At 46.8% G+C, this 24,578-nt stretch overlaps 1 protein-coding gene and 1 long non-coding RNA gene across 7 annotated transcripts in view; one reads left to right on the top strand and one right to left on the bottom strand.

Annotated features, from left to right (window-relative positions):
* The window catches only part of BANF2 (BANF family member 2), a 42,200-nt gene extending 25,196 nt beyond the window's left edge, over positions 1 to 17,004 (bottom strand). For 5 of the 6 annotated variants that reach the window (XM_005260668.4, XM_011529170.2, XM_011529171.4 and 2 more), the window contains exon 1: positions 10,621 to 10,710. Coding sequence is in view for 1 of the 6 variants with exons in the window: in NM_001159495.2 (NP_001152967.1) it covers positions 16,970 to 16,987 (18 nt within the window). In the remaining 5 variants the exon portion in view is untranslated. Of the gene's footprint in view, positions 1 to 10,620; positions 10,711 to 16,969 lie in introns of those variants that run through there. The other variant, NM_001159495.2, reaches the window with a different exon arrangement.
* On the top strand, positions 10,817 to 13,060 carry LOC105372547 (uncharacterized). The gene is made up of 2 exons (XR_937294.2): positions 10,817 to 11,177; positions 12,496 to 13,060. It is a non-coding gene; the product is annotated as an uncharacterized LOC105372547 (long non-coding RNA).
* Positions 17,005 to 24,578: the final 7,574 nt, after the last annotated feature.

The raw sequence follows: 24,578 nt of genomic DNA, 5'->3' as shown, positions 1-24,578 counted from the left end.
AGTCACCTCGGAGGCAAGCACTAGTCTGGATGTCAGCTTGTCCCTGCTCACATGGAAAGAAGGTCTGGTGCCAGCCTGGGCTCACCCCGGGACTAGAAACAGAATAAGGATCACAGGCAAGCGGGAGAAATGGAACCGAATTGAGCTGGCGAGTAAGGGGGCTCATGGTGGCTGAGCGCCTACTACGTGCCTGCCTCTGTATGGCCATTGTCATGCATAGTCCTCAAAACGAATTCTGCAACATTAGAGAATTGTTCCTATTTTAAGAGATGTGAAAATGGAGGCCCGAAGAGGCAAAGGGGGCCACCTATCTAGTAAAAGGCAGTGATGAGCTGCAGGCTGAGGTCTGGGTGGTTCCAAAGACCAGCTCTTCCCTCTCCAGGACAGGAGTCAGAACAACAAGGACAGTTTTAGCAGACGCTGTCCCTGCCCTGCCCATGTCCCCCCCAGGGCTCATGGTTTCCATGGTGGCTCTTCGCCCTGCAAGTGGACAGGGCTGGGGACGAGACACCTTGGGAGCAGCCCTCGGCCAGGATGTGAGTAGGTGGGTAAGTACCCAGCCCCACACCCCTCAGGTGGCACAGCTCTGGGGCCTGTCCCACATTAGGTGATATCCAGACATCCCCAGTGGGAGGGAGCCCCCAGTGCTCATGGCAGTAACTGCTCAAGGCCACCTTCCCTTCCCGGTCTCACATCCTCACTCCCTTCCTCATGGGACCAGGAACCCTTTCCATATCAACTACTTGCACTGCAATTAGATGATCAGGTCAGCAACTGGGAAACCCACCTAAGAGAGCGGCTCATGCTTATCCAGGCTTACCAAGGCACCGTGCTAAGCTCCGCACCAAGATCATCTCATTTCATCCACCCACCTGCCCTTGGGATGAGATAGCTTCTATGATTATCCCATTTCACAGATAAGATAAATTAACTGACCTATGGCATTGCCAGGCCTCAAACCGAGTGGGCCTCAGCCTAATATCTGTGTTCTCAACCACTGAGATATTAAGCAAGGCTTCCATTGAGCTTCTGGGCAATCATTTTCCCTCCTTCTAGCTTTGGACTGACTTCCTCTGCTTGGGTGCACATATAAACAGGAGATGCAGCAGTTGGCTGCCCCAAAACAAAGGGGCATCTTGTGTACAGGTGGAGCTGTGCAGTGGTGCAGTGTTTTAAGCATTGCCTTCATTCCACTCATAGGATATCGAAGGCCCACGTGCCATGTATTCACCTCCTGTTCTTTGCTGGACAGAATGCCTCGCCCAAGATTTAATTTTCCTTCATTCCTCTGCTCTCACATTTTGTGTGTCCTGCCCTTGCCTGCTAGGCCTCAGTGCGGTGGTTCTGGATCCTCCTAAGGACCAAGGCATCTGAGTTCCTCCAGCCCTCCAGGTCCACATGTCTCCAGATAGGAGGGTGTGAGTATGTGCTTCTGTGAGTCTCAGTTCAGAAATCGGCTCTAAGTGACTTGCCTGATCTTCCCAAATGCAAAGACCTACTTAAGACCCTTTCAAAAGAAAATCACTAGGCTTGTTGGCTCTGGCTTCAGAAAAGGGGCCTGAGCAAGAGTTCTATCTGTTTGATTTGTCTCCATTCAAAGCCACATTCTCAAGGTTATAAAGAAAGGATTTCCCAGATTGTCATTGCTTTCATTGATTGCATTATCACCTGAGCAGTATCTTGCAGAAACTATAGATAGGAGTTTCAGTAATTTCTAAATAGCTTTTGGTGTTTTATAACATCAGAAGATAAGCTTGCCATTTGTAAACATGCGCTTGGACAAACAACATACACGCATTCCTTAGGAGGAAAAGAATCTGTTTCTGGGCCTGGGAAGGGTGGTGTTCCGCCTCTACTAAGGGTCAGTTTCAACACTGGATTGTTGGGAAAGAGTTTAAGCTGGAAAAAAGATCTCGGTTTCAATGATCTTCTTAAAATCAGCCACCCTTTGAGCATCTATTAAAAGTTCAAATCACGGGTTGCAAATGAAAAAGCCAGAGGGACAAGGCAAATTAAAAAAATAAAGCAGTGAAGAAAACAGTGCAAGGGCGCTGATAAAAGAGGACCAACATTGGACATCCACTGAGGAGGTCACAAAAGTGCTATGGACTGTGTAGCTGACTGAGGTCCCAGACCCCATCTAAAGGAGGCCACCCCTTTCTGGAATGTGGGTCCCATGTGACTGGCTCTTCTGAGTCTTTTCAAGAGAAGCCCAACGTTTAGATTTTTATGTACTAGTATCCAATTTTTAAATGTTGGGAAATCATTCAAATATTCATAATGCTGTATGGACCCAACAAAACAAAGCCATGCCACGGTTTGTCTCTCCTGCTATGGACCTTCCTTCAAGAAAAATGCCCCCTTGCACATATAAATACAATTTGACATCATATTTCAGGCTTTTGTGGATCAGGGATCTCAGGTTTTTTTCTGTTTGTTTTTGTTTTTGTTCGAGACATATCACTTTGTCACCCAGGCTAGAGTGCAGTGGCATGATCTCAGCTCACCACAACCTCTGCATCCTGGTTTCAAGTGATTCTTCTGTCTCAGCCTCTCGAGTAGCTGGGATTACAGGCATGCACCGCAACACCTGGCTAATTCTTTTTGGTTTTTTTTTTTTTTTTTTTTTGATTTTTAGTAGAGACAGGGTTTCACCATGTTGGCCAGGCTGGTCTCAAACTCCTGACCTCAAGTGATCCATCTGCCTTGGCCTCCCAAAATGCTAGGATTACAGGCATGAGACACCGTGTCCAGCCCGTAGTCAAGTTTTGATTCTTAAAAAACAATCTTGGCTGGGGCTGGGTGCAGTGGCACACGCCTGTAATCCCAGCACTTTGGGTGGCCAAGGTGGGTGGATCATCTGAGGTCAGAAGTTCGAGACCAGCCTGAGTAACATGGTGAAACTTCGTCTCTACTAAATACAAAAAAATTAGCCGGGTGTGGTGGCACATGCCTGTAATCCCAGCTACTCGGGAAGCTGAGGCAGGAGAATCACTTAAACCCAGGAGGTGGATGTGGCAATGAGCCGAGATCGTGCCATTGCACTCCAGCCTGGGCAATAAGAGCAAAACTCCATCTCAAAAAAAAAGTATATATATATATAGGATCAGGTCATTCTCATCTTGAACCTTGGACATGGTTTCCCTGGGACATGTTCTGACCTTCCCTGTGAAAAATATCTACAAACAGTGACTGCCATTCTTGCCTCTGCTGTACTTCCATCTTCCTACTCGGGGACCACATGCTACTCCCAGCATCTTCCCTTAAATCCTTACTGGGATTTTCTTTTTTTTGACACAGAGTCTCGCTCTGTCCCCCAGGCCAGAGTGCAGTGGTGCGATCTCGGTTCACTGCAAGCTCCACCTCCTGGGTTCACGCCATTCTCCTGCCTCAGCCTCAGTAGCTGGGACTGCGCCTGCCACCATGCCCGGTTAATTTTTTGTATTTTTTTTTTTTAGTAGAGATGGGGTTTCACTGTGTTAGCCAGGATGGTCTCAATCTCCTGACCTCGTGATCTGCCTGCCTTGGCCTCCCAAAGTGCTGGGATTACAGGCGTGAGCCACTGCGCCCGGCTGGGATTTTCATCTTTAAAGCATCCCTGGTGAAGCTTTGATTTCCAGTGCTTGCAAACCCATCTGAAAGTGCCAAGATGTGGTCCCCGGTCTCTTCCCTCTGTGTGGCCCTTGGGTGTTGGTGGCATTTAGATGTTGATCAAGTCATGCCTGGCCCTAGCTCTGCTCTAGAGGTTTGGATCTGTATATTCCATCCTGCTCACAGCGTCTACTTGCCTGCATGGACTTTGGATAGAGTCACCTGGAAATGACCAAAGATACACATATGCCATCCCTCCTTCTTTGCAGAGAAGACGAGAAAGACCTTTGCACTGATCTGCACTCTGAGCCACTGCCATCTGCTCATTGAATGCTACCCCTCTCTTAGTGGCAGTGAAAAGGCAGAAGGAGCCACACCTGGCTGGATTTGTGTTTGATCTTGGCTTTACCCTTTACTTGGTGGATCTGTTCCTACCTCTCCATTCCTGCCATCACTTAAGGATCCCCTACTACGGATGGGCTAGGTGTCTTGCTAATTCACAGACATCTTATTTAATCCTCACGACAAAGCTATGATGTAGGAACATATCTGAGCCCCATTTGCCAGATGAGGAAATGGGGGCTTAGACAGTTTAGTAACATGCCCAAGATCATATACTTGGCGAAGAGAAGAGCCAGAGCTTGAATCCTTCGTGTTAAGCTCATACCTGTGAGTTCAGCCAACTAACCAACAGCTACTTTTTTCTTCTTGATCTATATGGGTCATGATAATCCCCAAGCCGGGTCACTGAGTGGCTTAGAATGAGCTCATATGAAGTGCCCAGGTGAATGAGGGTCTCAAAGGTAATGTTGCTATAACAATCACCCTCACGTCAGCACACCCCAGCCCTGACCCACAATCTCTCCCTGGATTTAAAGTGTGTACTTGGCTCTAGGAACCTTCACCCTTCAGCCTGGCACACTTGGTGTCTGTCTGTGCTGACTCTCCGGATTTGGCCAACCTTCAAGCCCCTTCAACCTCATCTATGCCGTCACCTTGCCAGTTGGGTGGCTGCGTTTTCCTAAGTACAGACCCATGTGGTTTTCTGCACCTCTCAATAGTTCCCTCAGGCATGCAGCAGTGAGGGGCATGTCCCAGGCAGGGGTTGGGCACTTTGGGTGCCCATGGGCCCTCACAGGAGCAGTGCCATAGAAGCCCACAAACCCTTATGCAGGGATATGTGGGAGAAAGGAAAACACACAGACTCCAGACAGCAGGAACACAACCAGGAGGACAGGGCTGCCCTGAGGTACAAAGAGATGCTTCTGCACAGCATGAAGTATGCCTCAACATAGCATCTGGGGTAATCCCAGCATGAACTAGTTGCATAACCTTGCCCAAATCACTTTCCCTTCTTGGCCTTAGTTGCTTCATCTATAAAATGGGGAGGAATAGAGTTAGGTTACTAATTTTCCAAACAATAGTCCCTAGGCCTCCCCCCATTCTCAGGGATTCACAATGTACACCAGCCTATTTACGGCTTTGAAAAGTCCTGTAAAGCTAGGGAACTACTGACCTGGCCTAGCCCATTATCTTTTACCTTTCCTAGACCAGACAGCCTTTTAAGTAACATCAGTTAGCTTCCCTTGAACCAGTGTTCTGTGGAACATGCGTTGGCTAATTTTCAAGATTCTTCTGGTGCTAAAGATCTTTAATTCGACAGCCCCTGAGTCTGTGCTAGGGATTGGGAGGCCTGGTTAGCTGTGGGCCCTCTGGAATTTATGAGGCTCCCGCCCTCTGTTTTCTCAGCCATCACACAAGGACTTCAACACCTGTTCTCATGATCAATTGGGACAATTTTTTAGCTTTCTAACTGCTCTCCCTTCTCTCCAATTTTACATGGAGAATCACCTCTTCCTGCTTTCATCCAATGTGGCTTGGGTGGGGCCAGTCTCCCACTTGGCTCCAGGGACACACATGACCAGGCCTCGCCAATGAGGTAACAACACACATGACCAGGCCTGGCCAGTGAGGTAACAACACACATGACCAGGCCTGGCCAGTGAGGTAACAACACACATGACCAGGCCTGGCCAATGAGGTAACACATCCTCCTGGCCACAGTGACTGCATCATTGTGGACACGCGACCTCAGCTGGGCCAGCCAGACAGAATCCTGGCACTTTTGCCAGAAAGATTAGGCAAGAAGTGGTGCCCCCTTCTTGCTGGGGTTGCTAAGTGAGTGTTCGTCTCTCCTTCCACTTGTGGGGGATCCTGTCAGAGCGATCCTGGCAATGCAGAACTGGAGATGGTGACAAGTAGTTTCTTGACAACATCATTTGAGGGCCTAGATACAGCCAGTCCTGAAGCCATATGTGCTCCAATCAATCCTTTGCCTTTTAACTAGTTTGAGTTTAGTTTCTAATCCTAACTGAAAGAGACCCATTCCACCAATTTTACAAGGGACACAATGATAATTAAATGTTAAAGAAGGAAGAGGCCTTAAAGGCTGATAAAGCAATGCATGAGAAGTGCTTGGGAGGTAGGATGGGACAGTTACCCTATGTGGGCACAAGCCCAGATGCCTGGGAAGAAGGGACCGATCATGTAGACCTCAGCAACAGTGGGTAATGCTTAACCCAAAGAAGTGCTGTCCACTCTAGAAGTGGAATTGAGGGCCCTGCAATGTCAAACCTAAGCATAGGCTCAGTCCTGATAGGATGCATTCTAATACAGCCTTGCTACTCCACGTGCAGCCTGTGGGCCTGCAGCTTTGACGTCTCTTGGAGTTTGTTAGGAATGCAGAATCTCAGGCTCCACTCCAGACCTACTAAATCTGCATCTTAACTAGACCCCAGATGGCCCATGTGCATGATCAAAGTTGAGAAGCACTACCACAGCACTGTTGAAGTGACTGTGTAGCGTGTCCATAGACCCCTTCCTGCTGGTATGAACATCCTGCCCACCCACCAGGAAGTGGACAGTTTCCCCTCCCCTTTTATCTGGGCTCTCGCCCTATGGCTTAGTTAGCCCGGTAGAAGGTGATAAAAATGGTGCTGCCAGTTCTGGGCCTGGCAGCCTCTGCTTCCTCTCTCAGAAGCCAGCTGGGGACAGTGGTTCACACCTGTAATCCCAGCACTTTGTGAGGCCGAGGCAGAGGCCTGAGGTCAGGAGTTTGAGATCAGCCTGGCCAACATGGTGAAATCCCATCTCTACTAAAAACACAAAAATTAGCTGGGCATTGTGGCAGGCACCTGCAATCCCAGCTACTCAGGAGGCTGAGGCAGGAGAATCGCTTGAACCCAGGATTGGGAGGCGGAGGTTGCAGTGAGCCAAGATCACACCACTGCACTCCAGCCTGGGCAACAGAGCAAGACACTGTCAAAAAAAAAAAAAAAAAAAAAGTCAGCCTACTTGCCCTGAGACCTCCATGCTGTAAGAAAACCCAGACAAACCGCATAGAGATGTTTCTTGGAGAGCCCAAAAGTCCCAGCTGTGTGAGTGAGGCCTTCTTGGGCCACCCTGTCCAGCCTAGCCCCCAGCTGAGTGACCCTCAGTGACACAATGTGGAACTGAGTCCTGCTCACATTCCAGACCCAGAGAATTGGAAGAAATACGAATCTTTGCTGTTCTAGGCCGCTGTGCTCATGTTATTTTGTCACACAGCAGAAGTTACTGGGGCCATGACCGCCTTTCCTCCTCACTGAAGGAGGGGGCTGTCCTGCAGAATGTTCACACACTGTAAGCACCATACTGAGCACTTTCTGCCTCTCAGGCGCTGTTCCAGGCACAGAGATGGAGTGGGAGAGGGCAGACTGCATCCCTGCTCTGGTGAAACTGGGATTTTTATCCAGGGATAGGGCAGTAGACAAGAAAACACACAAACGTAACTTCAGAGAGATAAGGAGCAATTGGAATGGGGCTGGGGACACAATTAGGTAGAATAGGGAAGATCTTTCTGAAGACACACACTTGATCTGAGGCCCTCCTGTTGAACAGGGGCAAACCATAAAATGATCAGAGGAAAAAGTGATGCCGGCAGAGAGAACAGCAAATGCAAAAATCAAAAAGCACAGGAGGTCTGGGAGTGAAGGCAGAGGGAAAGGGAAAGCCAGGAGAGGGGAATGAGATCAGAGATGAAGTCACAAAAGTCAGCAGGGCCCAGAGCAGCAGCGTCTAGCACACCGCCACCAGCCACCGATGGCTATGTAATCTAAGCTTCCATTTAAACAACAAGCGCAGCTCCTCAGTCCCACTGGCCACATCCCAAGTGCCCAGTGGCCCTGTGTGCCTAGTGGCTATCATATGAGACAACACAGAGACAGAATATTCCCGTGACGGTTCTGTTGGCTGAGATGGCTATAGAATAACTCAGAAGCAGATCAGAACCAGGGTTCAAGGTCAGACCATGTGTTCTTGGGCTTAGTATTCCATTAAATTTCTGAAGGTTCCAGTTTTCCCCAGGGTTAAATGAGGCTTTTCCAGCCCAACAGTGGGTCCAAATTATCCACAGCAAGAAGCCAAGTCCACAAACAGTTGCACACGGGTCCTATCCAAGGAGCATCAGCAAGGCCTCATCCATGGAAACTGGCAGCAGAGGTCTGTGTAACTGACTTCTTTGCAACCTCATTTAAGTTGCCAGTTGGGGCTCCCTGATGTGAAAAAAGAACAGAGCATGGCTACTATTTCAGGGCACCACGCAGAAGGGAGAGTGCCACAATTAGCTGAAGCTGCTTTCGATTAGCAGATTTTCTTCCTTGGTGCATAACATCTGTCCGTGTATAGACATCGCTCCATCTTGCCCCATCAGAGTGAGGGGCCGGGCCAGTGAAACAGGCGGGCCCACAGGGAGTTCAGCATCCATCAGGGCAACGTCCAAGAGGAGCTGGAAATAGGCACTGTGGAACTTGGCACATCGATGGCAGTTTGCCTTAGGGAAAGGCTAAGAAAGGAGACCCTGCTTCCTCACACAAGCTGGGAGGCGGCAGATGGAGACATAAGTTTTCCTTGGGGTTAGAAAGACCTGCTTCGTCATTTAGTATTTATGACATCTCCACAAGTACCTGATCCTCTGGGGTGGTTACCTAACCATGCTCATCTGAGAAACGGGGCTGATGACACCCACCTCATGGAGCTGGGGAGGAGTAGGTGGAATAATCTCTGGAAACACACTTGGCATGCAGCAGGCATTTTGTAAATGGTGGCTGAATCATAATCTTGATAGGAAAGAACCAGGTGAATGAGAGAGATGGGCATGGGAACGTTTGATCAGCACTCAGAACTGGCTCCTCCATTTGTTCAGTCAACACAGGTTAACTCTGCAAATTGGCTCTGGAGCCTTGGAAAACTCCCTCAACCAGCCTGGGTTCCTCTTTCCTACCTGGGGCCCGTAGCTGATCTCTATGGTTCTTCCCAGTTCTCCTTGCCTAACAGAAAGTTTGCAGCCGTCCTTAAGGCGTGACCCACCTGAGTTCAATCGCAGAGGGTGGGCAAAGTACTAACACCCAGAAACCTACAATCTTGGATTTGGAAACAGCCTTTAAAGGTCTTTTGGTCCAGCTCCCAGCTGATCACAAGAATCCCGTTCCCTTCCATGCTGATGGAAGAGCCGTGGCCTGCACACTCTTGCTGCCTTGCAAAGCAGCCCATTCTCTTTTCAGAGAGCTCTAATGTTGGGGATAGTCGATAGAGAGTGAAGGCATGCTCCAGGTTAATGACCCTCTTTAGACGTGGCACCAGCACAGAACAGTCTTCAGTTTCTATGTCTGTAGAATGAACCTGAGAACACCTGCTTCACAGAGGTCGGAATTAAGAGCAATAACATAGCTGGTGGGTCTGGCACGGGAGGTTCAGCGTTTGCTCCCTTTCTCCTCTCCAAATTAAACCTGCTGCAGGACGGGGACCACAGGTTGCTCTAGCGCCGGCCCCTCTACTGTCTTTTTTCCTTTTCCAGTGGGGCCTAACATAGGCTAAAATGTTCTTAGCATGCTTGGTGAACCATTGGCGTCTTGGATTTGTGTGTGAAGCAGAGGTTGGCTTCAGCCCATCACATATAAAACTAAGGAGGGATGGCAAAGCCTAAGGGTAAAATATTTCTCTGATCCACCCCCCACCACCTCCCTTTCTACCTTACACAGTCAAGGAGAGCCAGGAGCCTTCTTAAAATCATGGGGTCCCTATAGAAGCCACTCCTTTGTGGGAGAAGGGACGCAGCTGCAGCTGTGTGGACGTGTTGGCACTCACAGATGGTGAATGGACCGTAGACAGACTGTGGGAAAACACGAATGGGCCATGGTAGGGAAGGCAGCTGTGCCTCCTGGGGCCCAGAACGGGTCCCTACTGTTTGTTATAGAAGGCCTTGAGTCTCAAACCACCCTCAGCCGAGTGCAGGTGGCCCATATGGAAAGAGCCAGCATCCTCTTTGAGAGATGGCTTTGGCCTCTGTCCCTGTCCCCGCTACCTTAGATTTTGCCCACTTTCCTGGTGTTCTAATCCATCTCCTTATTTCCCGTCACGATCCTAAAGCTCTCTTACTGTCCCAAAAGGAAAGGAAGTGATTTGATATACCAGCAGGTCACCAGGAGGTGGATTTAAAAACAGCCAAAGCAGGAAGGCCTCTTACAGAAAGGAAGGACCGTCGTTCACATTTTGGACGGGAGGTGGCTGTGTCAGCTACCTCTGCTCATCCTGCTATGTGGTGTGTCATTTGGCCAATGGCTGTCCCTGACCTCAATTAGGGCTAGAAGTGATGCTCTAGTGAATTTGCCATCTGAAAGCCTGGCCTCTCTGCTCTATTAAGAACACAGGTGACCTTTGCCCAGGGAGCTGGTGCAGGTGGCAAGCCGAGTCTTAGGGGAGACTAGAGTACCACCTCCCGCAGATGGTGACACAGCAGGAAGAGGCTGGGAAGGGGTGTGTGCATCAGGTGAGTCAGCTTTCCTAGGAAGAGTTTGGGGCTTACCTGGTGAACTCCTGTCCACCGGTTTGGCTCATCTAAACCTGTGTGAGAATGAGACCTTAAAGTGCTAAGACAGCCAGCTGTTGGCTGTATCTCCTTCCATGCTGCTTGGGAAAGTTCTGAATACTCACCAGGTGCTCCTGATAAGCCAGTGGCAGCTGGCAGTTTGTCTCAGTCACCTTGGATCTGGAACTGCAGGCCAGAGGTTCAGCTTATGTCTTAGGCCCATGGGGCAAATCAGTCTCAAGATCCTGAATGGACTACATTGTGATGTCACACCACAGGTCGGGGGTGAGCACAAAAAGGGCTGCAGTGGCTGCTGGCATCAGGGCACAGGGCAGGGCAGGAGCAAGAGCCTCAGGCCTCTCCAGAAGAAATCAGCCTGTCTGGGTGCTGTTCTCAGCTGGGGTTGCTGGGAAAGAGTGAGGGATGTCTGCTGTACAGAAAACATCAGCCTGGAAGACTGCTTATGAATCCACCTGCTGCCACTTGCTGCCACGGTTCCTATTCTCACCTGGCCTGCGTCAATTCAGTTAAACCAAGTCCATCCTTCATGCAGTTTTCCTGCACAAAGTGACTTCCGTGGGTACCCCCAGCTCCTTGCACATCTTCTGTGATGGACTTGAAATTCCAGGGCAGCTTTTTCTTCTACCAGTATACCCGTGACTTTCCCCCTACTGCCCACCTGGTAGGGACTCAAGGAAAGAGAAGTAACTTAAATATTAGCTCAGGAAAACAAGCAGAAATATAAATCCTCCCACCTTCAAGTTAAATTCAACACAGGTGTCTTTTAGGTTATCCTCTATAGCATATATGCCTGGGCTACTTTCCATTGTTGGTAATTGATAACTTGGTACAATGTATATTTACTAAGCCTAAAAAGAAAAGAAAAACTCAAAAAAGGGGGCAAAGTATAAAATGTTTCCAGAGATTCCATTCCCTTTTGCTGCTGGTGCTTGGGATTGGGGATGGAGGAGTTCTAACCAAGAGCAAACGGCTTCGCTTTGGAAACTGTTGGGTGGCCCTAAATTTTAGAGTCCAAAACAGTGGGTCTTAAACTGTAGGTTGCATTAGAATGACCTGGAAGACTCGTTAAAATACAGATTCCTGGGCCCCACTCTCAAAGTTTCTGACTCATTAGGTCTGGGGGAGAACCCAATAATTCACATTTCTTACACGTTCCCACATGACGTTGAGGCTGCTTGCTCTGAGACTACACACTTTAAGAACATGTAAGGGTGCTGGTATCTTAGGTTTGATCCTGAAATAGTATTGCCAGCTGATGGCAGTATTCAGGGGTTGCTGGAGAATAAACAGGAGCTGTAGCTTTGGGGCCAAAGCTGGCTGAGCTCTCTGGGTTCAACCAGCACGCTTTACTGAGGATCTATTCATTGCCAGAACTGAGCCACGTTTTGGGGAAGCACAACTGACGTTGTCAGTGCCCTGCCCATAGCCTCTTGGCCTTACAACTTCATTGTACAAAGGTAATCTGACTCCCAGCTGCCAGTACCTGCGTATCTTTGCTTGGGGGCTTTTGCCAGCTGCTGGAGTCCACCCTGCCTACAAGCGGGCAGCTGCAAGTTGCAGAATGTCCTCATTCAATGACTATTATCAGTTGGTAGATAAATAACCCAGCTCCCTCCCTGCTCAGGTGGAATAACCTGGAGTCATGTCCTGTTCCATGTCCCAGAGGACCCACAGGACCCACCCGTAGGTGCCTATGCTAGGCCATTCTCTTCCTATAAAGAAATATCTGAGGCTGGGTAATTTCCACAGAAAAGAGGTTTAATTGGCTCACAGTTCTGCAGGCTGTTCAGGAAGCACGGTGCCAGCACCTGCTTTGCTTCCAGTGAGGCCTTAAGGAGCTGACAATTATGTCTGAAGGTAAACAGGGAGCCAGTGTATCACATGGCAAGAGTGGGAACAAGGCAAGGGAGGTACCACACACCTTTTTTTTTTATTATTATTTTTTATTTTTGAGATGGAGTCTCACTCTTGTTGCCCAGGTTGGAATGCGATGGCGTGATCTCGGCTCACTGCAACCTCCGCCTCCCGGGTTCAAGCAATTCTCCTGCCTCAACCTCCAAAGTAACTGGGATTTACAGGCACCCACCACCACTCCCAGCTAATTTTTTTGTATTTTTAGTAGAGATGGGGTTTCACTTTTTTGGCCAGGCTGGTCTCAAACTCCTGACCTCAGATGATCCGCCCATCCTGGCCTCCCAAAGTGCTGGGATTATAGGCATGACCCACCGTACCCGGCCGGGTACCACACACTTTTAAACAGCCAGCTCTCACAAGAACTCACTATCATGAGTACAGCACCAAGACATTCATGAGGGATCTGCCCCCAGGACACAAACACCGCCCACCAGGCCCCACTTCCAACATTGCAATCACTTTTCAACGTGAGATTTGGAGGGGACGAATATTCAAACCATATCAGTGCCCACAGTGGCAACTGGCTTGCTAACATACCCCACATTGTTGCCCCCATCCCCTGCCTCACTTCCCCGCTCCCCTACCTATGTTTCCTGGGATCAAACTGCAAATAAACTGCTTCCACTCAAATCCTTGTTTCAGGGTCTGCTTCAGGGGGAACCCAAACTAAGACTTTGTAAATAAGAAATGATGTCTGTTCTTTGTAAGTTCACATTTAGATGGAGAAACTATATAAATTGGCTTGGTATAATTCAGAATGTCTGGGAACCGGTGAGTGTCAGGTCTCAGGGCAGATGGAGGTGTTCTGCTGGTTGGCCTTTGGAGTATCATTAGGAATGTCTTGAGGAAACACATGAGCTGATATGCTCAGGGGGAGGCCTGGCAACCTGGCCCAAAGGCCTTTTCCTCTGCACAGGGAGGCCTGAATGTGCTACCCCCAGGGGACTGATTTGCTACACAAATTCCACCTGCTTTCCATCTCCCTGGACAATTCCTCCTGGAATAAGAATATGGAGGTGGAGCTAGCACCATATAAAATATGGCTCTTGTTCATGCTTTTGGGGGAGTTTCAGGTGTTTAGAGAAGGCTCGCTAGGGATATCTGCTGGCCTGTTAGGATTAATATGCTTTCCTAGGTGTTCTGCTCAATACCATGCTACACCCAGCCTCACACCTGCACTGTGGTAGGATTAATCCAACTCTGCCATAGCTTTTGCAGGGAGCCTTAGTTTCCACCCTAACTCCTTCCACATTCTCCTCCCCATTATCATCATCATCACCATCATCATCATCACCATCAGATCTCTTAGAGATCCTGCTAACACACTACAATCCAAATGAAAACACCATGTCGAGAAAGTACTCTTCAAGTCCAGTTCCCATTCTTCCAATCAGACACGGCATGTACTGAAATTCTGGAACTGCCACTGAAAAGATCCAATCGCGGCTTGGCTGATCATTCACACAAATCATTTCTTTAGCAACATGGCACCCAGAGTTATTTTCCTCCACATTTCAACTTGGCTAGAGGAAGAATGAAGCCTACTGTACCAGAGCATTGCATCAATAACAATATCAATATTTTCAGCATTACCCAGGACTCAAAAAATGGCCTCAAACAGTCTTTAGTTCTGCCTCCAGACAAAGAATTACAACTATAAAAACACTTACCTGGGAAAAAATGTTCGACATTATTAGTGATAAGGTAAATGCAAATTAAAACCTCTACATGCCCACCAGAATGGCTAATATTAAAAAGAGCAACAATACTAAGTGTTGACAAAGATGTGGGGCAACTGGAACTCTCACATAATGTAATATAATATAACCACTTTGGAAAATTGTCTGGTAGTTTCCTGTAAAATTAAACATAAAGACCTACCCTATAAGCTAGGATTCTACTCCTGGGTATTTACCCAAGACAAATGAAAACACATCTACAAGCTGGGTGTGGTGGTTCATGCCTGTAATCTCTGTAATTTGGGAGGCCAAGGTAGGAGGATCATTTGAGGCCAGGAGCTCAAGACCAGCCTGGGCAATATAGAAAGACCCTATCTCTACAATAAATAAGAAAAAAGAAAACATGTCCATAAAAAGATTTGTGCAGGAATGGTCATAACTTCTTTACTCATCATAGCCCCAAACCAAAAACACCCAAATGTCCATTAACAGGTGAATGTCCATTAATAGGTGAATGTATATTCTTATAATGAAATATTAATCAGCAACAAAAGGAACAAACTCTTGATGCATATATGATGACATGATAAACCTTGAAAACATTATGCTGAGCAACAGAGGCCAGACATAGAAGAGTACACACATGGTTCCTGTTATATGAAGTCCTGGAATAGACAAAACTGATCTGAGGCTACAGAGATAAGGTCAATGATTGCCTGGAGTGGGGGATGGGGGAACAGGTTAAATGGCACAGGTAACTCCATGGGATGAAGGGAATATTCCAGATCTCTATCATGGCGATGATTACTCGGGTGTATACATTTGTCAAAATTCATCAACTTGTACACTTAATGTGTGAATTTTAGAGCATGTAAATTACACCTCAATAAAGGTGACTATATACACATATATGTATGTGTGGTGTGTGCATATGTAATGTGTAATACACACACACACACACACACCCTAGGTTTTTCTAGGGGAAGAAACTGGAAAGAATACACTAAAATGTGCTAGTTGTTATGTTTCACAGATGAGATTATAGGTAATTTTTGTATCTTCTTAAATTTACCAAAATTTTACCTATGCGACTCTACTTTTTTTTTTTTTTTTTTTTTTTTGAGACAAGGTCTTGCTCTGTACCCCAGGCTGGAGTGCAGGTTTGTGAACATGGCTTACTACAGCCTTGACCTCCCAGGCTCAAGCAATCCTCCTGCCTCAGCCTCCCGAGTAATTACAGGCATGCCACCATGCCCAGCTAATTTTTTTTTAATTATTGTTTGTAGAGATGGGGTCTTCCCTTTGTTGACCAGGCTGGTCTCAAACCCCTGGGCTCAAGCAATCCTCTGGGCTCAGCCTCCCAAAGTGCTGGGATTACACCATCACACCCAGCCTTACTTTTTAAATAACAGAATGAAAAATGTTCATTTTTTAAAAATTTCAAGCTGCTAAAGGCAAGTGCTTATGGTGGTCTATAAAAACTCTGGAGTTTTGCAAACAGAGTCCTTGGTCAAAGTCCCTGTCCCACTACTTCCTCGTTTTATGACCTAAAGGAAGTTACTTCCTGAGCCTCAGTTTTCTTATCTATATAATCAGTTTGTTGGGATGATTGAATTAGGATAGTGTATGTTCAAAGCCCTCTGCAGGCAGGGTGCGGTGGCTCACACCTATAAGCCCAGCACTTTGGGAGGCTGAGGCAGGAAGATTGCTTGAGTCCGGGAGTTCAAGACCAACCTGGGCAACCAAGTGAGACCCTGTCTCTACAGAAAATTTTAAAAAAATTATCCAGGCCTGGTGGCACGAACCTCTATTTCTAGCTACTTGGGAGTCTAAGGGAGGAGAATCACTTGAGCCTGGGAGGTCAAGGCTACAGTGAGCTGTGATGGCATGACTGCACTCCAGCCTGGGCAACAAAGCAAGACCCTGTCTCAATAAAAAAAAAAAAAAAAAAAAAAAAAAAAAAAAGAGAGAGAAAAAACAAAAATAGCCCCCTGCAAACTATAAAACACTACAATGTTAGATGCAATGTTTCACACAATATATTAATAAATCCAGGGCTTACCTTTGTTTCTGACCTCTTAACTCCTTGCTCATGAGCACTACTTCCTCACCAGCTTCCACTCAGTTCCTAAGATTGTCGAACACCCTCCTGCCTCAGGGCCTTTGCACATGCTGATCCCTGCACCTAGAAGACCTCTGCTCCCACATCTTCAACAGCTGGTTCCCTCGGGTGATTCAGAGTTCAGCTCCAGTGTCTCTTGGGGCTTTACCTAATCATCCCAAAATAGCCTCCTCCCACTCTGTCCCATCACTGTGTTTTATGAGTACTTGAAATTGTCTTGGTTTTGTGCTGACTGTCCACCTCCCATCCCATACCACCTTGTGGAGAGGCTTTGCATCGGTTTTGTTCACTGCTGTATGTCCAGCCCCTGGAGCACAGTAGGTGCTCAAAAATCATTTACTGAATGAACGAACAAGTACTTATTGACAATTAGGCCACACGTTGTATGTATTCAGTTCAATCTGCCAATTCATCGCAACAAGGAGAGACTGTGAGGCAAATGCTGCTTGTTCCCACCCCAGTGGCTGAAGGAATCCGTCCAAGACGTGCCCGTCGGCCATAGATCTGAACGCTTGCCACTGCCCATCAGGCTCCAAGTCAGCCACCGTGGTGTGAAGATGCGGGAATAAGGAGGGCATTGTGCTGCCTGCAGAGACACGTTCCGAAAAGAATTCAGAATTCGGGAAAGCACCTCCTCCCACTGGACACACCTCTCCTAGCCAGGTGATTTGTCCTTGCCTCCTTTCCCCGCCGTCTCTTCCCCACCGTGAGCAAGGAAGTCAGACCAATCTGCCTTACCTTTGTTCCTCGCAGCATTCAGCGCAGGGTTGCTTTAAAGTTCTGATTCTGCATAAACCCTGCCAATGCCACAGTGGAATTTTCTAGCCCATGCCAAAGACGGAGCTCATTAATTTTCGTGCCTGAAAGAAAGAAAACACTTCTTTAGAAATTGGCGTGTTTAGCACTCTGCTGAGGGAGGGTGAAGCCTCCCTGCAAGGAAGATTAATCTAGGTTTGTAGGTAGGTCATTCAGGGAAACACCAGCACACTGCAAAAGACATTGTCCACGCCAATGGCCACCCGCTGCCTGTGGGTGACTTGTGCAAAGGCAGGAAAGCACCCACTCCTCTCAAAAGTGCCCATCCAGTACATTTCCAGAAAGTTCTTCTGCCCTGTCTCTTCCCTCCTTTTCTGAAATGTCCATGGTTCCTGGAGATATCACATCTGAGTGCCAGCTTTTCAAAGTGGAAATCAGGCTGGGCCAATTCCCCAGGGCCTGGACCTGATGCTACCACAAAGATAAGCCAGAATCTCTTTATGCAGTGGTAAGTAATTTAAAACTTTTTTTATATTAAAACAAGGAATGTGTCTTAGAAAATAGTGTAGAAGGGAAAAAAATTAAACTATGACATCGGGGGTTGGGACTTCTGGTGATTTTTACATTATTCTTGATATCTTGTCCTGTATTATCTGTATTATGCATTCAAATGTATTACTCTTATATCATAAAAATAACAATGATACTATTTCCATTTTTAGAAAACCAGCTTATGTGGAAATAGCTTGAAGAAGAATAAAAAATCACATGGGACCGGGCATGGTGGCTCACACCTGTAATCCCCGCACTTTGGGAGGCTGAGGCAGGTGATCACTTGAAGTTAGGAGTTTGAGGCCAGCCCAGCCAACATGGTGAAACCCCGCCTCTGCTAATAATACAAAAGTTAGCTGGGCTTGGTGGTGCATCCCTGTAATCCCAGCTACTCGGGAGGCTGAGGCACAAGAATTGCTTGAACCCAGGAAGCAGAGGTTGCAGTTAGCTGAGATCGCACTGCTGCACTCCACGCTGGGTGACAGTGAAACTGTGTCTCAGAAAAAGGGAAAAAAATCATATGGGTGTTTAATGGTAACGTCAATGTCTTCTTGGACAGATGGCTTAAAGGCCATGCCCCTCCTTGGTGTCCACATTCACTCTCGTCTGACACTAGAGGTATTATGGCAAAAATGCTTGAAAGGCATTTCATGGTAAGTCAGTAAAACTTTAGTGCAAATTAGTCTATCTGAGGTAATCTCTCTCTCTGTCTCTCTCACACACACACACACACAAACACACACACAACACCTAAAATCTCATGAGAATCTGCAGATTCACCAGGAAATGGCACTGGAAGGAAGAATGAAAAGTTGCCTAAATTCAACCACCTAAGTAAATTTTGCCCTGGCCTGGAGTTTTCTGACCACAGTGACAAGTAGCTTTCTGAAGAAGAGTACAAGTGGGGCTGCAGGCTATGCTCTCATCCCTCCAAATCTAGTTTTTCTGCAGTGCACATTCAGATCAGAGGCTGGGACGATTGTGCTGAGCTGGGATAGTTGGCCTGATCTATTAGCTGGCAGAAGGGACTGCAGGGCCAAAGACAGGGAGATGAACTCAATTGCCCTGGTGGACCCTTTCTGAATACTATTATATATATATATATTTTGCCTCTGGTTTAAGGACCTTCTTTAAAACTCTCACTAATCATTTAAAAATAAAGAAAAAATGCTGATTAACCGAATTTGAGAAGTGTCACAAGATGATTAAGTGGCTGGGGAAGAAAGATTTAAGAAGCTGCAGTTTTTAAGTCTGGAGGGAAGAACCTGGAGGAGGGAATCAAATAATGATTTTTAAGTACCAGGCACTTACTAATCAAGTGACAGGCACTTTGTGAACACTCAGCAGAGACCCAGCATTGAGCAGAGTGCCGAAGCTCTGCCCTAAAGCCATGAAGAATAAGACTCTAAGAAATAAGCGCACAGTGATGTAGAAGTGATTTAAGGTAGACATAAGAAAGGACTTCCTGAAGCTAAAACCAACTCATTGCAGAATTGAAATCACAGGGAGTTCAGAAGGAAAAAACAAGTATGACTCAGGCCTTTTATAAGCTTTTTTGTTGAAGAGTCAGGATTGCTATGTACAGAATCTAGCAGTGAACTCGGGTGCCCAGTTGTGTTGTGGTGGTCTCCAAAGGGAGTTGGTGGGGCAGAGGAAAAGAGTGGTAGCTATGTATTCTGGAGTCCTGTGGAGGAATCAGCTCCATAGGCTCTTCGAGGGCAGAGAATAACCAAGTTCAATCCAACTTTGCACCCCTATCAACAAGAGGGTGCCTGGCAAACTTAGCACCAACTACAGGATGAATGACCAAAGACAGCTCTTGAAAGATGAGAGGGCAAGAATGGCATGCAAGGCTATAGGGAGTGTGCTTTGGGCAGAGGCACATGGGGTACAAATGGGAAGAGGAGGAGCTTGGTGAATGTCAGGGGGCACTGGTATATGGAGGTCCACAAAAGTCAGGCAGAGAAACAGAGACTTGACATGGTGGGTACAATTTTAGGCTCCTGAAGGGGAGACAAGAAAAGATAGAAGTAGTGGTTTTGGAATGTTAAGTTTCCTAAATGTGAGCAGGATGGATTGGAAAGAGAAAGCAGGGGGGAAAAAGACAACTCGGTCCTTCACAGTTTCCATATACCACTTCACCCTGTGAATTTACTTTGGAGCACTTACCACAAATTAAGCAACCATCTATTGAAATACTGATTGCCTCCCCCCATCCCCCATCACCACTAGACTATCAACCCACTGAGGGTAGGGGTCCTATTTGTCTTGTTCTCTGCTGAATTCTTAGCAGCTCATATAGACTGTAGTGTGCAGCAGTGCTCTATAAATATTTATTGAATGAATGAGTTTACTAAACCAGGAATGGGAGATGAAGTTCTAGACTACACGTCAAAGTCCTGAGCTCTTCATCTCTGGTAATCTTAGAGAAGAGCCAAGTTGTCTAACTAGCTGGACTAGTTAAGAATGCCTTCTGCTCAGGGATGGATAGACGAAGCCCTATTGTGCCTTCCAACTCAGTGAACCTTGGATTTTATCCCAAGATGTCCAATGTGAGGCACCTAGTCATGCCAGGCACACCTCAGGGCCATGAAATGTTTCTTCTGACTGGTACTTCCCATCTGAGATAGGGAGTTGTGAATCCAGGATTCTTAAGACACCATAGCTGGACAGCACAGCTAGACAGTGTCATTGGTTCAATTAAAACATTTTTGACAGCTTACTAAGTGCTTGCTACTATCCAATGACTGCACTGAAGGGAAGATGCATGGAGTCCTGCAAGGACAATAGAAAGGAGAAAGGTTTCATTAACTCACGTAGGGTCTGTTATACCTGCTCATTTCTCCATTGGCATTTCTGTGGGAGAGGCAGAGAGATGTATCCTACAAAGGTGCCATTTCTGGAGTGTTCAGGGCTTATTTAACTTTGTTATCTGTAAATGTGAAGGCTTCAGCAAGCAACTGTACTTCTCTAAACGTCAGCTCCTCACCTGTGAACTGAGGATAATAATAATAATGGTTATAGTAACAATTATTACAAAGCACTTTACAAACAGAAAAGTGTCAGATAAATATCATTCACCTATTATTTTGGTTTTTCTTGTTTTCTCTGGGGACTCACCACCAGCCACTAAGTCAATCATTGTCATTTTTTGCAAAAACTCCTATCTGTAAGCTCACTTCTAACATTACGCACAGAACAAACCAAATATTCTTCTCCCAAGTTCTCTTTTACTACCACTTGCAGCCACAAAAATTGGCAACTTGGGTTCACACTTACATCTATTTCCTTTGTGTATATTTTATTTTTGTTTTGACAATTACTATAGTCTATAGAGATTTTTGTTGTGTAACAACATTGCTCTGGTTTTGAGTAAAACTATTGCAGAATTTTAATTGTCTGGGATATCACATAGGTCCTCTGATTTAAATTTTGCAAAAGTGCGTGATACATGTGCTGACTATGCAATGGAAGGCTCTCCATTCTGTTTTTTGCTTTTTGGTTTTTTTTAGACAGAGTCTCACTCTGTTACTCAGGCTGGAGTACAATGGTGCAATCTCAGATCACTGCAACCTCTACCTCCCAAGTTCAAGTTATTCTCCTGCCTCAGCCTCCTGAGTAGCTGAGATTACAGGCGCCCACCACAATGCCTAGCTAATTTTCTTTATTTTTAGTAGAGAGGGGGTTTCACCATGTTGGCCAGGCCGGTCTCGAGCTCCTAACCTCAGGTGATCCCCCCACCTTGGCCTCCCAAAGTGCTGGGATTACAGGCGTGAGTCACTGTGCCCAGCCTCTATTCTGTTTTAAAACTCTAAGTCAGTGTTTAAAGAAGCTCAAACGGTCCTACACTCATTTATTCATTTGTTCATTCATTAAATAAATATTTATGAGTTTTGGAGCAGACACTGTTGGCACCTTGCCCACATCCCCTCTGCCATTCCTGTGCATATCAACAGCCTGTGATTGCAAACACCAGCAACCTTCTTCCTAAGTGCTTTCTCTGAGGTGTGGGCTGGAAATACCAGAGAGCTAATGCCTCCAGGAGCAGCCTTCAACCAGTGATGAATAGGAATTGGTGAATAAGTACTCTGCTTCCTTGCTTCTCAGTTTGGAAGCAAGAGAGTTCCTCAATGGTATTACACGTCAGCTGTTCACAGTGGTAACTTGCTGTTGATGCACTGTTCACTGACTTCCTTACATTCCCTGTCTTACTTCCCCACTTCTCTACTGGTAATTCCTGGGATCACCTTCCAACTGCTTTCACTCCAACACTTTTTCTCAGGGTCTGCTTCTGGGGAGATCTAACCCAGGTAGGGAGAATTCTTACCAGGACAAAGGCATTGGACTAGGTGTTCATAATTAAACATTGGGTAGAGCCACTGACCCTAATGAATCCACAGTTCAGACAGGGAGATGATATGGGTGCAGAAATGCCAACATGAACATGCACATCTCATTTTTCTAACATTTAAAAATCCTGCTGGGTCTCTCTCTCTCTCTTTCCCATGCACTCAGGCATGCATGTGCACATGCACACACACACACACAGATACACACACACACACACTCCACTCTGATCCACATGACTATTGTATCTAGTGGTATGGTAGAGCCAGCCTGCTTATGACAGCTGATTGTTACATTTTTAGGAATTTTTCCAGCAGTTGGTTAAACATGGTCATTATTAAAAATTAAATTATATAAACTTAAAATGAAATAGATCATATTAAAAACAAAGGTAATAAATACTCAAAACCATCACTTCCTAATTAGTACATTGTACTACTATCTATACTCTTGGAATGATTTGTGTCTCTCATATTTTTATGGTAGAAATAGTAGACAGTGGTGTGCTACTGCAAATTTCTTCCCATCTTTGCCTTCAATGACTCCATAGCTTGAAATCAATTGGCTCTGATGGGAATATTTACACCACAGAAATTGGCAGATGCTGTAAATCAGGGAGTGCCCCCATCCCCATCTGCACCTGAGAGCCAGTTGTTAAATATTTACCAGCACATCATCCACCATGTCTTGCCTGGAATCTCGGAACAGTCTCCTAATTTGAGTCCTGAATCCTCCATTACACTGTCCAATCTATCCTGCACATTGCTGCTAAAGTGATCTTTGAAAATGCACATCAGATTGCATCATTCTTCTGCTTAAATCTCCCACCCAACCTCAGCTTCCCATGGTATCCTCAGGCCTCCGTGGTCTGGGACCTTCCTGCCTGCAGACCCCCTTCCTTTCTCTCCCTTCCATTTGCCCATGAGCTCCAGCCACACAACCTTCTTTCTGTTCCCTGAACCAGCTGCGAAGATCCTCCCTGACCCAGGATTTTTGCACTTACCCTTCCTTTTCCCAAGACAAGATCAGCTTCTTTTCGTCATTTAAGTCTCAGGTCAACCATCACCTCCTCAGAGAGGCTTTCTCTGTCCATCTTCTTCACATCCACTGCGCTCCCCCTCTCCAAATCCCCATCCCTCTCCATCACCTGAGCCCATTCTCATTTCCTTGTAGCCCATTGCACCACTTCAATTCTTCTTACTTATTTATTGGTTGCTTTGTCTACTATCTCTCTTCCCACTAGAATGTGAGCTCCGTGAGAGAAGACCCTTCCTTTGTTCGTGGCTCTCTCCCCAGCACCTAGAACAGTGACTGACACTTAGTGGGTCCTCAGCTGGATTCATCTGTCGGATGAATGGATGTACATTCCTTCTACCTTCTCCACTCCCATTCATTTCTTAGCCCTCCACGATCTGGTGGTGTCCTTACCAAATACCCCTCCTCTAAAGCTGTTTCCCCAAGGTCCCTGGTGACTCCTGAGTTGCCATGTGCCCCGGTCTTCATCTTGCTGGATTTTTAGGCTACATTTAACAGTGCTTACCATCCCCAATTCTTGAAACTCTCTTCCCTTGCTGAGGCCATCCTCACCTGATTTACCTTTTCCATCTCTCCTTCTTGGACTCAGTAGTTGATTGCATCACTGGTGCCATTGCTTTACCCTTCCCTGTATTTCCCCGCCCCTTGAATCTGGGCTCACCTATCCAATACACCTTGTATATGTATTTCTGCTTATTTTCTTTTCCTTCAACCATCACCGTGAGAAGGGAATGCCCCTTATAGCTTGCTGATCACAGGAAGAGGGGGTGAGCCAGGTGCAGCAGAGCTTGTAAGGTGCCCCAGCCAAGCCCAGGCTGGAGGTGAGCTCTCAGGCCACCCAGAGACCTATGAGTGAGCCAACCAAGATCAGCCAAGCCTCAGCTGACCCACAGATGTGTGAGCTCTGATAAGAAACCATACTTGTTTTAAGCCACTGAGTTTGGGAGTGGTTTGTTACATAGCAAAAGCTGATTGATACATACTCTTTTGTGGGTTTTTTCCTTTCTCTGTTCAGGACTCAAGCATTTTCTCCTGTTCCCATCCACATGCAACTCCCACCCTATCCACTGGTTATAGTCATTGCTGTCCTTGGGTCTGAACCTCCAAGGGTATGCTTAGGTTTCCTAATTGCATCACTGACCCTGACAACAACCCCTGAGCCTCAGACCTACGGAAACATTGTCTCCACCTGGACTTGCCTTAGGCTCCTGAAATCCAACATGTCAAAATACAATACAACATTTCCCCCAGCTTCTGTCCCCAATCTGTTCATTCTTTTGTGTGCCTTGCCCCAGCAGTGACACCACCATGCTCCCTATCACTCAGGCCAGAAACAGGGCTCATGGGTAACCCCTCTCTCCTTCACTCCTGCTGGTCTCTAAGCCTCACTTGCTACTACTTCATGTCCTAATACCCCTCCTGAAGGACCTTGCACCTCCTACCCCTGCCACTGCCCCATTCCAGCCCTTGTCACCTCTCACCTGAGCTATTGTGGGTCTTATAACCCTGTGGGCCCCAAACCTAGCATCCACCCAAAATATAGAACGTCAAAGGAGTCATCACAGCTGTCATCAATCACAAACCCTTCCTTGAGTTGCTACTCTCAAAGGATTAGGCTCAAATCTTGCCCCTTCTATAGGCACAGCACACCTTCCAC

The sequence above is a fragment of the Homo sapiens genome, chromosome 20, assembly GCF_000001405.40.
Source record: "Homo sapiens chromosome 20, GRCh38.p14 Primary Assembly".
Classification (NCBI taxonomy): domain Eukaryota; kingdom Metazoa; phylum Chordata; class Mammalia; order Primates; family Hominidae; genus Homo; species Homo sapiens.
The sequence above is the reverse complement of the archived record's forward strand: the minus strand, read 5'-3'. Positions and strand labels throughout refer to the sequence as shown.